Source organism: Homo sapiens, chromosome 3 (assembly GCF_000001405.40).
Source record: "Homo sapiens chromosome 3, GRCh38.p14 Primary Assembly".
Taxonomy (NCBI): domain Eukaryota; kingdom Metazoa; phylum Chordata; class Mammalia; order Primates; family Hominidae; genus Homo; species Homo sapiens.
The window spans coordinates 195,335,714-195,349,640 of NC_000003.12; the positions used below are offsets into that span (position 1 = coordinate 195,335,714).

The 13,927-nt window shown below is 36.9% G+C and overlaps 1 protein-coding gene across 13 annotated transcripts in view; it reads right to left on the reverse strand.

Annotated features, from left to right (window-relative positions):
• Positions 1-13,927, reverse strand: part of ACAP2 (ArfGAP with coiled-coil, ankyrin repeat and PH domains 2) — a 168,276-nt gene that overhangs the window by 60,969 nt on the left and 93,380 nt on the right. For all 13 annotated transcript variants that reach the window (NM_012287.6, XM_011512603.3, XM_006713557.4 and 10 more), the window contains 3 exons: positions 9,546-9,604; positions 6,758-6,941; positions 1,219-1,263 (listed from right to left, as the gene is read on the reverse strand). In NM_012287.6, the coding sequence (NP_036419.3) occupies positions 1,219-1,263; positions 6,758-6,941; positions 9,546-9,604 (288 nt within the window). The remainder of the gene's footprint in view (positions 1-1,218; positions 1,264-6,757; positions 6,942-9,545; positions 9,605-13,927) is intronic.

Here is a 13,927-nt window from a genome sequence, read left to right on the forward strand (position 1 = left end):
ATATACATAAAATTTAGAAAAAAGCTAGGTGGGGACAAGAATCTAAGGCAACTTAAGCATAGCCTTTTGGGGAAAAAGTAAGTCAGTAAGTAATTCAGAGTTGAGAGATTATTACTAAGGTTATCAAAATATAAAGAGTGCTATGCCATACCACATCATGCCCTGCCCACTTCGTTGGCTTTTTTTTTTTTTTTTTTTTTTTTTGAGACAGAGTTTCACTCTTGTCACCTAGGCTGGAGTACAATGGCGCGATTTCGGCTCACTGCAACCTCTGCCTCCCGGGTTCAAGCAATTCCCCTGCCTCAGCCTCCCGAAGTAGCTGGGATTACAGGCACCCGCCACCACACCCAGCTAATTTTTTTGTATTTTTAGTTCAGATGGGGTTTCACCATGTTGGCCAGGCTGATCTCGAACTCCTGACCTCAGGTGATCCACCCGCCTCAGCCTCCCAAAGTGCTGGGATTACAGGCATGAGCCACCACACCCGGCCTTCGTTAGCTTTAAGACCAAAAATAGGGCTCCCCACCGCAAAAAAAAAAAAAAATTCATTGTCAAGTGGGTGAAGAGGCTCAAGGAAAAAAGTGATCCCCAAATTTCATCCCACTGGTTTTGTAACTGCATACGGAAGAACAAACCAAAAGACTGACCCACCATCAACTTTAAGGGAAAAATTCTCCAAATGATACTATTCATATAAATCCTCAATCTCAAATATTTTTGAAGTCCAAATAATGCCAAAAATTATAGAGAAAAATGTAAATATGTTGAAAGAGGCTGGGAAAAAAATTTTAAAGCAAAACAAGTAAGAAAAAATTAAAAACCTAAGTGTAACAGTTTTTTATGTTGATAACTTTCAAAACAAATTCTGAAATATTCTCACAGGTTTTTATACCAAACATTTTTAGTTATTCACCAAATGGTACTGGGCATCTAGTGCATGTAAAGCAACATATGAGGATAAAAGAAAACAAAAACATAACAGTATAGAGTCTACCTTTATGGACCTCACAGTGTATCAACAGATGAGACACACAAACAACTGTAACATGAAGGAGACAAAAAGAAGTCCAGTGCCACATAAGAAACACAAATGAAGATCAAAAAGAAGAGCAATTATAAACCTTATCATGTATATAGCAGATGCTCTTTCAACACCTAAATACGTACATTTAGTTTCATATTAAAATATTTAAAACATCATTTCAATTAATGTCTTACTGATTTTAGGATTTCTGATCTCCTTTTTGATTGAAGAACATTAATCTGAGGGAAAACACACGTGGTTAATCACCCATGCATTATTTTAAAGCTAATCCATAATGCAATATTGTAAAGCTTATTTTAATGGTTTAATACTTTTCGAAAAAGCAAATAAAAACAAAGCTCAAGCTTTTTCATCCTTCAACTATCCTTTTGCAAAACACAGTTAAGACAAACATTCCAGTGAAATTCTCGTACATTTCTGAGCTAAAAGAAAAACTGGTTATTTAACCGATATTAGAGTGATGGAACTATTTTGACATCTGAAGCTCTGGGAATTCCATCTTTTTCCCACCCTCTTTATCTAATTGCTCATCAAAGTTTCACATACAACCTAAATGTAAATTCTCAGCACTTTACCACTACCACCATCATGTCTTTTCCAGACTGCTGCAATAGGCTATGAATTAGTCTCTTCTCTGCTTCCATTCTTGACTCCCTACAATCCATTATACACACGGCAACCAGTCATCTTTTTTTTTTTTTTTTTTTGACACAGAGTTTTGCTCTTATTGCGCAGGCTGCAGTGCAATGGCACAATCTCAGCTCACTGCAACCTCTGCCTTCTGGGTTTAAGAAATTCTCCTGCCTCAGCCTCCCGAGTAGCTGGGATTACCGGCTTGTGCCACCACGCTCGGCTAATTTTTTCTATTTAGTAGAGACGGGGTTTCTCCATGTTGGTCGGGCTGGTCTTAACTCCTGACCTCAAGTGATCCACCCGCCTTGGCCTCCCAAAGTGCTGGAACTACAGGCGTGAGCCACTGCGCCAGGCCCATCTTAAAAAATTATAAATAAGATCATGTTACCTCTACCTTAACACCCTCCAACTTCCTACCATGGCCGGCAAGGCCCAGTGTGATGTGGCCCCTACCTACCTTACCTCTTCGACCTAGTTTTCTATTACCTTCCCACTTTCTGTACTCCGACCTGAGCCCGGGGCCACTCCCACCTCAACCTGAGCCCGGGGCCACTCCCACCTCAACCTGAGCCTGGGGCCACTCCCACCTCAATGCCTTTGCACTGGCTGTTCTGTGCACACGCCATGATGTTCCGCCCAGATGGGTATCAGGCTATCTCCTACCAATCAGGTCTCAAATACCATCTCCTCACAAAGGTCTATGCTAGCTTCTTACGTACTGTCTAGTACATCAACCTCATTTATTTTACTCAGAACATTTATAACTACCTTATATTTTCTGATTTGTGTCTTCTCCCTAACCGAAGTGTAAATTCTAGTGAGACCAGGGTCTTTGCCTTATTCCCAGCTGTAGTGGCACACACTAAGCACTCAATAAATATTTCTTAAATAAATTAACAGGTTTTGTTTTTAGAGACAGAGTCTCACTCTGTTGCCCACCCTGGCCGGAGTGCAGTGGCATGATCAGATCTCACTGCAGCCTCGAACTCCTGGGCACACAATCCTCCTGCCTTAGCCCCCAGCAATGCTCCCATCTCAGCTTCCCGAGTAGCTGGGTAGCTGGGACTACAGGTGCACACCACCAGACCTGGCTAACTTTTTTTACTTTTTGTAGAGACAGGTTCTCACTGTGTTGCACAGTCTGGTCTCAAACTCCTCGCTTCAAGCAATCCTCCTGCCTTGGCCTCCCAAAGCACTGGGATTACAGGAATGAGCCCCTGCACCCGGCCAGATTTTAAGTAAATGTTTTAATTAGACTAAATTTACTGAAAGATCAATAAATTAAAAGATTTGCCTTTTAGAGGATCTCTCCCAACTCCAGAAATTCACAACAAACATTTTATTTTTGTCTGTTATTATCTATCAGCTTAATGAAATGTTTAAAAAAAGAATCATTCACTCTTTGCCAATACTGTCAAAAGATTATACAATATCTTTTTAATATGTCCTTCCCACTGAATTCTGTATTTTATCAAATAATTTTAAAGCACTAAATTAAAAAAAAAAACAGAACAAGAAAAATCTAAGTAACTTTACTTAACCATAAGACTAGTTTCTGGCTGGGTGAGGTGGCTCACGCCTGTAATCCTTGCACTTTGGGAGGCTGAGGTGGGCAGATCGCTTGAGATTAGGAGTTTGAGATCAGCCTGGCCAACATGGTGAAACCCCATCTCTACTAAAAATACAAAAATTAGCCAGGCATGGTGGTGGGCGCCTGTAATCCCAGCTACTCGGCAGGCTGAGGCAGGAGAATCACTTAAACCCTGGAGGCGGAGGTTGCAGTGAGCTGGGATCGCACCACTGCACTCCAGCCTGGGCGACACAGCAAGACTCCTTCTCAAAAAAACAAAAACAGAAACAAAAGACTAGTTTCTTCTGCATGTATTTCAAAGCCTATTCAGTTTAGAGAACTACAATATTCACTTTCAAATGCTCTAAGTAAAGAAGAAGCTGCAAATAGCCTACTACTCAAACACTGAATAATGTTAAAATGCCTGTTTGATATGTCTTTTTTTCTATTTGAAAAAATTAAGTGCTATATAAAATTTTTAAATTTAAATGTTATATATAAAAATAAAATGCTATATAAAATAGGATTTTTATATTATATAATATTTAAATTATATAGCATTTAAATTATTGGAGGAAAAAAGTAAACTCAAATATTTAGAGTAGTTAAAAGCAAGACAAACTTTATACATTTGGATATCTATTACTTACTACTCTCTAAAGTAGACATAAATGAAATAAAGGCCATAAAATGATACAATAATTCCCATCAGAAAAATCAAACAAACTAATAGTTATTTGTTGGGGGTGGTGGGCATGAGGAGGCAGTGTGAGGATTCCTAACTTACATATGGACATCCAAGAAAATAATGTGTAAGTTTAAAAATAATGAAAATTTTAGCTAATCCTCCCAGTATAAAATTTGTAACATTAAGCCGTTCACTCTCTCAAAAAACATTTACTACATATCTATTTTCTAACCACTGGACTAGAGGCTAGGGATACAATCTAGAAATAGAAAAAATATATAAATAAATATTTACAATAAATGCGTAAGTAGTCTAACTGCAATGTGTACAAAAATACGGCAACACAGAGAAGGCAGAGGCAAAAATTATTCCTTCTGGCCTGGAGAAGTCTGAGTAACCCGGATCACAAAACAGAGAGTGAATTAGTGACAGGGCAGGTAAAAGCAATGCAAGGCAGACCAATTTCATGAGAAGACTTTAATACTCCAGACAAGAAACAGTAAGACTTAGGGCTGCAGCAAAGGTGAAGAAAGAACCAATTTAAGAGGTACACAGGAGGAATTTTCAAGACATTTTGGCAACTAGATATACTGGCTTACAATGAGGAGAATATCTGATATAATTCTCTCATTTCGAACTTCTATGAGAGTAAAAAAGTGACACCATTCAATTAGATAAGGGCAAAAGGGAAAGAGAAGCCATTTTGGAAGATAAGAGATTTCAGTTTTGAATACAATGAGAACAAAGTACCTCTGGGGAAAAAACATTTGGTCATCTACCTATAATAACAGGTGGTGATTCAAGCAAGGGGCATGATGAGACTGACAGAAAACAATAAAGTAAGAAAAGAAAAGAATAAAACCAAAGATGAAACCCTAAAAAGGAGAGTGAAAAGGCAGACAAAGGAGTGAAGCCCAAGACAGAAATGGAAAAGAAATAGAAGTTGGGAGGAAGACCTAAAAGCAGTTTCAGATAAATCAAGATAAAAGAATGTTTCAAGAAGGAGAGTGTGGTCCACCACTGCAGTAAAACAGAATAGTCAAGTTGGTTAAAAACTGAAATACGTCTAGTGAATAAAACCTCTGCATGAGCCATTTCAGTGGGTTAGGCAGGGTGAGTACCCTGTAGTGTGGGTACACTACAGCAGAAAATGGTATAATGTGAGGTAGGTAACAGGACCCAGGAAATACACTACTCCAGTCCAGTATCCTTTCCTCCAAAAGTACAGTCTATTCATCTTAAAAATTTAACTTCCCACTTACTGAACAGGAACTTAATAGAAAAAAAACTTAAAGTTAATTTTCTATTGTTTTGCCAAGTTACCTAAGTAATTTTTAATCACTAATTTCTATTTGGTTACTTGTATTTTTTCTTAAGAAATATTCTGTGATCATTGTGAAGTAAACAATCTCTGAGGACAACCACTATTGTTTTGTAAAAGGAGATTTATATAAGGTAATTCCCTAAGCATTAAAGTTTTTTTAGGCTTTAAATTCCATGATATATAGAAACACGCAATATAATATGCCTTCATTTCTCATGTCTCAAATACCTTTGGAGACCTATCACTTTCAGCTATAAATTAGACTGGAAGATCACCAACACCAAGCAACTTACCAAATACAGATTTCTAGTTTTTGGGTTTTTTCGTTTGTTTGTTTTATTGTGTGGGTTTTTTTTTTTTTTTTTTTTTGAGACGGAGTCTCGCTCTGTCACCCAGGCTGGAGTGCAGTGGTGCGATCTCAGCTCACTGCAAGCTCCGCCTCCTGGGTTCACGCCATTCTCCTGCCTCAGCCTCCCGAGTAGCTGGGACTGCAGGCGCCCGCCACCACGCCCAGCTAATTTTTTGTATTTTTAGTAGAGACGGGGTTTCGCCGTGTTAGCCAGGATGGTCTCAATCTCCTGACTTGTGATCCACCCGTCTTGGCCTCCCAAAGTGCTGGGATGACAGGCGTGAGCCACTGCGCCTGGCCCAGATTTCTAGTTTTTAAAAACAGCACCTAAAGCAAAAATATGATAACACTACTTCTAGAAAGATTTTTCATTTGGCAATATGGTGAACCTTAGTACCTCTAAGAATCTAATCTAAAGAAATAAGAAGTGTAAAGATGTTATTATCACTCACAATTATTGAAAATTATATTTTCCCTATTGTCAGTAAAAACTTGAACACCACAAATGTCTGTTACAGCAACTTAGAAGGAACTAGGGGCCCTTATCCTAAAGGAAGTAACACAGGAACAGAAAACCAAATGCCGTGTGTTGTCACCTATAAGTAGGAGCTAAGTTATAGGTTCTCAGGGGCATACAGAGTGGTGTAATGTGCACTGGAGACTCAGAAAGGGGGGAAGGTGGGAGGGAGGTGATGGATGAAAAATTTCCTGTTGGGTACAATGTATACTACTGGAGTGACAGATACAATAAAAGCCCACACTTCACCACTATGCAATTCACCATGTGACCAAAAACCCACTTGTACCCCTAAACTTATTGAAATAATAAAATGGTATAATAAAAGATAGTTAAATTGACATAACAACTCCAGAGAATAACATATAGCAACTAAAAATGCTTTTTAACATTTTAAAATGGGAAATATAATGTTAAGAGAAAAGAGGCAGAACTCAGAACCAAAGGAATATATATCCATACACACACAGGTACACTAATAGCTACACAGATGGAAATTTTCCACCTAAGATTATGTTTTAACTTTAAGTTCAGAGTAAAAGTATTTATTCTTCTTAGGGCGATCACTCAAAAGTAACAACCTGTTTAAGTAAGCACTGTCTGAAAACATACACAGTAAGAAACTATATACCTGAAGCACATAATCGAGGGCTATGTGTCGGAAACATTTTCTTGTTGCTGTCAGAATGTTGGTGGCTTCTTCAACTTCATGTTGTTTGTTTCTTTGTACTTGGGCATTTTTTACTAACGCATTTTCTTTTTCTTCACTGACTTTTTCGAATTGCTTCTTGGCATCTTTGAATTTTCTAAGATCTCTAAGAAAAGAAAAACTTAGTGAAACTTTTATAACTTGCTTCATTAAAAAACTTTAGCAGGCTGGGCGCGGTGGCTCACACCTGTAATCCCAGCACTTTGGGAGGCCGAGGTGGGTGGATCATGAGGTCAAGAGATCGAGACCATCCTGGCCAACATGGTGAAACCCCATCTCTACTAAAAATACAAAAAAATTAGCTGGTCATGGTGGCATGTGCCTGTAGTCCCAGTTACTCAGGAGGCTGAGGCAGGACAATCACTTGAATATGGGAGGCGGAGGTTGCAGTGAGTTGAGATCACACCACTATACTCCAGCCTGGTGACAGAGCAAGACTCCGACTCAAAAAAAAAAAAAAATTAGCAAAATAACATTTAGAATTGAATTCCTATGTTCCTCCATTTTTTGTTTCACCTCACATTGAAACACATTCACTCTTCAAACTAAAATATGTATTGTTTCTCAATTTTGTATAAATCCTGATAAAGTCAGCTAAAATTTCATTATTTAAATCTACATAACTTGAGATGACAATAAATTATCTAATTAACATTACAGAAACATAAAGTTAATTGTTTTTCTAAAGACAAATTCAGGGACATGTACCATTATTTAACCAAACGATTTTTAAACGGTAGTATACATAAGAATCTCTACAGGGCACTGGTTAAAAATGCAAATTCCAGAGCCCTTTCCGAGAGATTATGATTCTTTAGCCCTCGAGAAAAATCCTAGAAATCTGAGGAGTATTTTTTAAGACACGTCCTTGATTTTACTACCATGGGTGGTCTACAGATCACACTCTAAGAAACAACATTGATTTCTCATGCTGTGGCATGATCATAGCTCACTGCAGCCTTAAAGTCCTGGGCTCAAGCGATCCTCACACCTCATGCCTTTCAAGCAGCTGGGACGACAGGCACATGCCACCACACAAGGCTAATTTTTATTTTTTATTTCTGTGGTCTCACATTATTGCCCAGGCTGGAACACATCAATTTCTGAAAGAATCGTTACATCAGCAATGAATAACAGTATCCCTTTTAATAGTCTGAAAATCTGAAACACTTGGTTCATTAATGATCTTAGTCACATAACATCCCTTTGCTTTTATTTTTCTACTAGGGAGCTAGGTAAAATAACTTGAAGACAAATGATTTTATAAAAACCATAATAAAGTATATGTAAGAAAGACATTCAACTCCTTGAAAGATGCCATAAACTGTTATGTGTGCATTCTATGAAGACATTCTGAGTGTTCATCACAAAGTAATTTATAAAGAATTTGGTTGGGTGCCTGTAATCCCAGTGCTTTGGGAGGTTAAGGTAAGAAAACTGCTTTGAGGCCAGGAGTTTGAGACTAGCCTCAGCAACATAGTGAGACTTGCCTCTACAAATAATAAAAAATAAAAGATAAATTAGCCAGAAGTGGTGGTCCACGCCTGTAGTCCTAACTACTCAGGAGGCTGAGGTGGGAGGATCACTTCAGCCCAGGAATTCGAGGTTACAGTGAGTTATTATCAAGCCACTGTACTCCAGCCTGGGTAACAGAGTCAGACCCTGTCTCTATATTTAAAAAAGAAAAAAACAAAAGAAAAGAAACTGTAATACATAACCTCCAGAACAACAAATTCTAACCTATTAAAACAGTGTACTATCTTAATGAGATCTAACACCACTGTACAGCTCTATTATAATAAACTTTAATTTTATATATTCCCAGCCAGGAATCAAAAGAGAAAAACCTGTATTATTAATGTGAAAAAGAAAAACTTTCCTAATATGGAAATCTCTGATTTTTAAAATTTCTAGTTCTATTTTATTTCACAAAGAAAATGTGAGGTGACACAAAATACTCGTAAGTCACAAAAATCATGTACTTTTTTTTTTTTTGAGTTTCACTCTTGTTGCCCAGGCTGGAGTGCGATGGCGCGATCTCAGCTCACTGCAACCTCCACCTCCCAGGTTCAAGCGATTCTCCTGCCTCAGTCTCCCGAGTAGCTGGGATTACAGGCATGCACCACCCCGCCCCGCTAATTTTGTATTTTTAGTAGAGACGGGGTTTCTCCATCTTGGCCAGGCTGGTCTCGCCGCCTGACCTCAGGTGATCCACCCGCCTCAGTCTCCCAAAGTGCTGGGATTACAGGCGTGAGCCACTGCGCCCCGGCCCAAAAATCATGTACTTTCATGGCTCATTCTCGTATATTCCATTATCTTCTCTTCAAAGAAAATACCACATTGAAACAATGGAAAACACAGTTTCAACTACAATAACTAATAGTATTTCAACCACTTTTGGGGTTTGCTTTGATGGTGAAAGAACAATTAGATTATTTACATTAAAAATATTTTTTAAACCTATAGCTACATATCCTAGCCAAGTATCTTCCAGAACACGTATTTGTGGAATAAGTGATTCACTGAAAGACATCAAGTCTAATTTACTTATAGAGTAATTTAGGAAGAAATGCAGCATGCATTTCACAAAGCAAACAAAATGTCAATATTTTCAATAATTCATGGTATATAACTTCTTCCAAAAGATACGAATTCTCAGATTGATCATTAACTAGTTAATTTTCTTTCCTCTTCACCGCAATTGACTTACTCTTTAACAAAGTTCTGAAGCTGTGCCTTAATTGATCTCTGAGTTTGGTCAAACAGGATCTAAAAAATAAAATGTAATATTAAGTGATTAGAAAAGTAAACAAAATAATTTTCTTATCGTGCTATAAATACCACATCCCTCCATCAATTCTTCAATTCTAATACCGTCTATATCTCTTCTTGAAGACTACAAAAGAAATAACCATTTAAAAATAGAACCCAAAACAGATTAAGCCAATTTCATCTCTCAGAAATAAAATTACTTCTATTTACAGAAGAAAACAAATCTGCTTTAATATTTAAATAGAATGCTCAAACAATGGAGCAACATAGTTCCTTAATTCAAATTCAGGCTTTGGAAGACAACCTAAAACAGTAATACAAATTCCACTCCATACATTACAGAAATTATTTACTCCAATATATCACAGCATACCAAATGAAAACAGCTCCAGAAACGCCATATACCTTAGTTGAGGTAGAGGTTACTCATTGGGGAAGACGTGGGGACTTAAATGAATATTTTAAATTCAAATAAACATTATATCATCCTTTAGGTTAAATAACTGCTAACAGTAGAGACAAGAGTAAAATTTTATTCCTCCAGATAGTATTTTGCCCAACTTAAATGATGCCATATATTTAACACAGATGGCTCTGTGTATGATAAACATCAAAATGCTTATCGTGGGGATTCCACCTTTAATAATTTACAGATATACTTCATTCAGAGTTTGAAATAAAGTTAGATGAACAGGCAGAAATATCAATATCCAAAAGAAAATCCTCCATTCTTTTACTAATTGAAAACAATACCACAATTTCATTATCTCTGAAGCTCTGTCTTCTGTTTTCTCCTGAATACTACATACACACATTCCCCAGGAATCTGGACTTTTCAAAATCTGTCAATTTACTTCCAGAGAGAAATTTAATTTTGTCTGTATTATGTTAAACTCAAAGTACTAAACCCAAAGTAAGCAGAAGAAAGAAAATAATAAAGATTAGAGTAGAAGTCAACTAAACAGAAAATAGAAAGTTAATAGAGAAAAATCAAAGAATCAAAAAATTTGGTTCTTAGCGAATATTATAAAATTGATAAACCTCTAACCACAGTGATCAGAAAGAAGACGCAAATTTCAAACATTAAGAAGGAGAGACGCATCTTTATCATTGATTGTATATATATTAAAAAGGTAATCTGTGAAGCTAAGAAACAACTGTAGGCCTGCAAATTCAACAGACGAAATGGACAAATTTTGTGAAAGACAAAAACTCAATCAAGGCTCAGTCAAGAAGAAACTGATACCCTGAACACAGCTTAAAAGACAGAGTCTATAGTTTAAAACCTTCCATATCATATAAAGTTAAAATTACATGAACATGAAATATAACAATCCCAATCCTAGGTATGTGGCCAAATGAAATTAAAACTTATGTTCACACAAAAACCTGTACTCAAATGTTTATAGCAGTTTCATTCCTAATTGCCAAAATATAGAAAATACCCAAATGTCTTTCAACCAGTGAATATAGAAACAAACTATGATACATTCAAACAGCAATAAAAAAGAATGATTATTAATACATGCAACAACACAGGTGAATCTCAATGCATTTTGCTAAGTGAAACAAAATTTGTAGGGCATTCAGGAAAGTGCAAGACTGAGGGGATGAAAAATCAGCGATTTCCACTGATAGGAGGAGGATGGAAGGGTTAATAATGGGGCAACATGAGGGCTTCTGGGGAGTTGATGGAACTGTTGTGCATCTTGATTTTGGTGTGGAGACCCAACTGTATGCATCTGTCAAAACCCATGAAGTTATATGCCACAAAAAAAAATCAATTTTGTTATATTTAAATTTAAAAATAACTTTAAAATATGAAGAATGACAGTGTAAATATTAAACAATAGATTTTTAAATGAATTAAGAAGAAACAAATAGCATATTAACAGGTTGATTGAAAGGACAGAGAAACATAAAACCAACGAAAAGAGAACATCCAATCTTCTCAGGAACACTAACAACATTTAAGAAAATTGACCATATAGTAGGGCATCAAGCAACAATATGACATTATATTAAGTTACACTACAAAGTATTAAAAAGAGAGAACTACTGAAACAGGGAACAATACCGATCTCAAAAATGTTATTCCAAGCAAAAGAAGTCACACATACACACACAGACACACATACATGCAATATGATTCCATTTATATGAAGTTATAGAAAAAGCATAACTACTTTATGGAAGAAAATCAGAACAGGACTTGCCTTTGGAGGTGTGGGTTGGGACTGTCTGAGAAGTGGTATGGGAGAACTTTCTGGATAACGGTAATGATCCATATCTTAAAAAGGATTTGACTTACATAAGTGGATGGGCTTGCCAAAATTAACTTAAACATACAAATAGGGTTTTTGCATTTAACTGTATTTAAACTTGACCTCAAGAAATAAAATCAGGGCCAGGCATGGTGGCTTATCCCTATAATCCCATTACTTTGGGAGCCCAAGGTTGGAGGATCCCATGAGGCCAGGAGTTCAAGATTAGCCTGGGCAACATGGCAAGACCCATCTCTCTATATATATACATTTTCAAATGAGCCAAGCATGGTGGCACACACTTGTAGTCCTAACTATTCAAGAGACTAAGGCAAGAGAATCACTTGAGCCCAGGAGTTCAAGGTTGCAGTGAGCTGTGATCACGCCACTGCACTGCACTCTAGCCCGAGCAACAGAGTAAGATCCTATCTCGAAAGAAAAGAAGAAAAGAAAAGAAAAAAGAAAACTTGTAAAAAAAAAAACCTAAACCTGGGAATGTATTTGAGAAAGAAATGTTCTTTTGTCTATAAATTATTTTTAAATGCATTAATAATATTGAGGCATGGATAGAGGGAAGGATAAATGAATAGATATGTGATAAAGCAAATGCAGCATAATATACCTTTGGGGTGAGTATATGGATGTCAACTGTAAAGCTGTTTCAACTTCTAATTATAAAATATCAGAAAGAAATGGCACACATACCTTAAAAAATAAAAAGGAAAACACATCCTACAAAGAAAATACATTAAAAATTAAAAATAAATAAAAAGAAAAAATGTGAAAAACTCCACAAAGATGTCTTCACATCTTCATTGCTGAATTCTACCAAACATTGAAAGGTAGAAAGAACAGTACTTCTACACAAACTCTTCAAAAAAAAAATCTATCGGAAAATCTATTCTCTGAGAAAACGGAAGAACAAAACCAAAGACACTGTAAGAAAAGAAAGCTACGAAGCAGTATCCCTCATGAATACAGATGCCAAAATTCTTAGCAATATATAGTAATGACATAAGAATACATAGGAAGGAAAATACATCATGACCGACTGGGATATATTCCAGGAATGAAAGATGGATTTAACATTCAAAAAAATCAACATAATTCACCATGTTAACAGACTTAAAAAACAAACTGTATGACAGACACAAAAAAGCACTGCAACAAAAATCTTCCCTTCCTGATTTTTAAAAACTCTCAGGAATATAGACATATAAGGTACCTTCCTTGGCGTAATAAAGGGGACATATGAAAAATCTGTATCTAACATCCTGGCTAGTGGCAAAAGGCTACTTTCACCCTCAGATCAGGACCAAGGCCAGGAATGCCTACTCATCACTTCTATTCAACATTACACTAGAAATTCTAGCAATGCAATCATACAAGAAATAAAAAGCATACAGATTAGAAAGGAAGAATATAAAATTGTCTTTATCCACAGATGATGTGATCAGCTCTATAGATAACACTATGGAACCTGCAAAAAAAAAACTGCTAAAATTAATAAGTGAGTTTAAGAAGGCTGTAGAAACAAAGTCAAAATACAAAAATCAGTTGTATTTCTAAGACCAGCAATGAACAAATAGAAACTGAACATTAAAAAAAAAATACTGGCCAGGCGCTGTGGCTCACGCCTGTAATCCCAGCACTTTGGGAGGCCAAAGCGGGCAGATCACCTGAGGTCGGGAGTTTGAGACCAGCCTGACCAACAGGGAGAAACCCCGTCTCTACTAAAAATACAAAATCAGCCGGGCGTGGTGGCACATCCCTGTAATCCCAGCTACTTGGGAGGCTGAGGCAGGAGAATCGCTTGAACCCGGGAGGCAGAGCTTGCAGTGAACCGAGATCACGCCATTGCCCCTCCAGCCTGAGCAACAGGAGCGAAACTCCATCTGAAAACAAACAAACAAAAAAAGCCATTTATAATAACAAATAGGAAATGCTTAAGGATGAATTTGACAAAAAATATGCAAGACTTGCACAGTGATGACTACAAAACATGCTCAGAGAAATTAAAAAAAAAAACAAATGGAGACAATCTTTCATGCTCTTC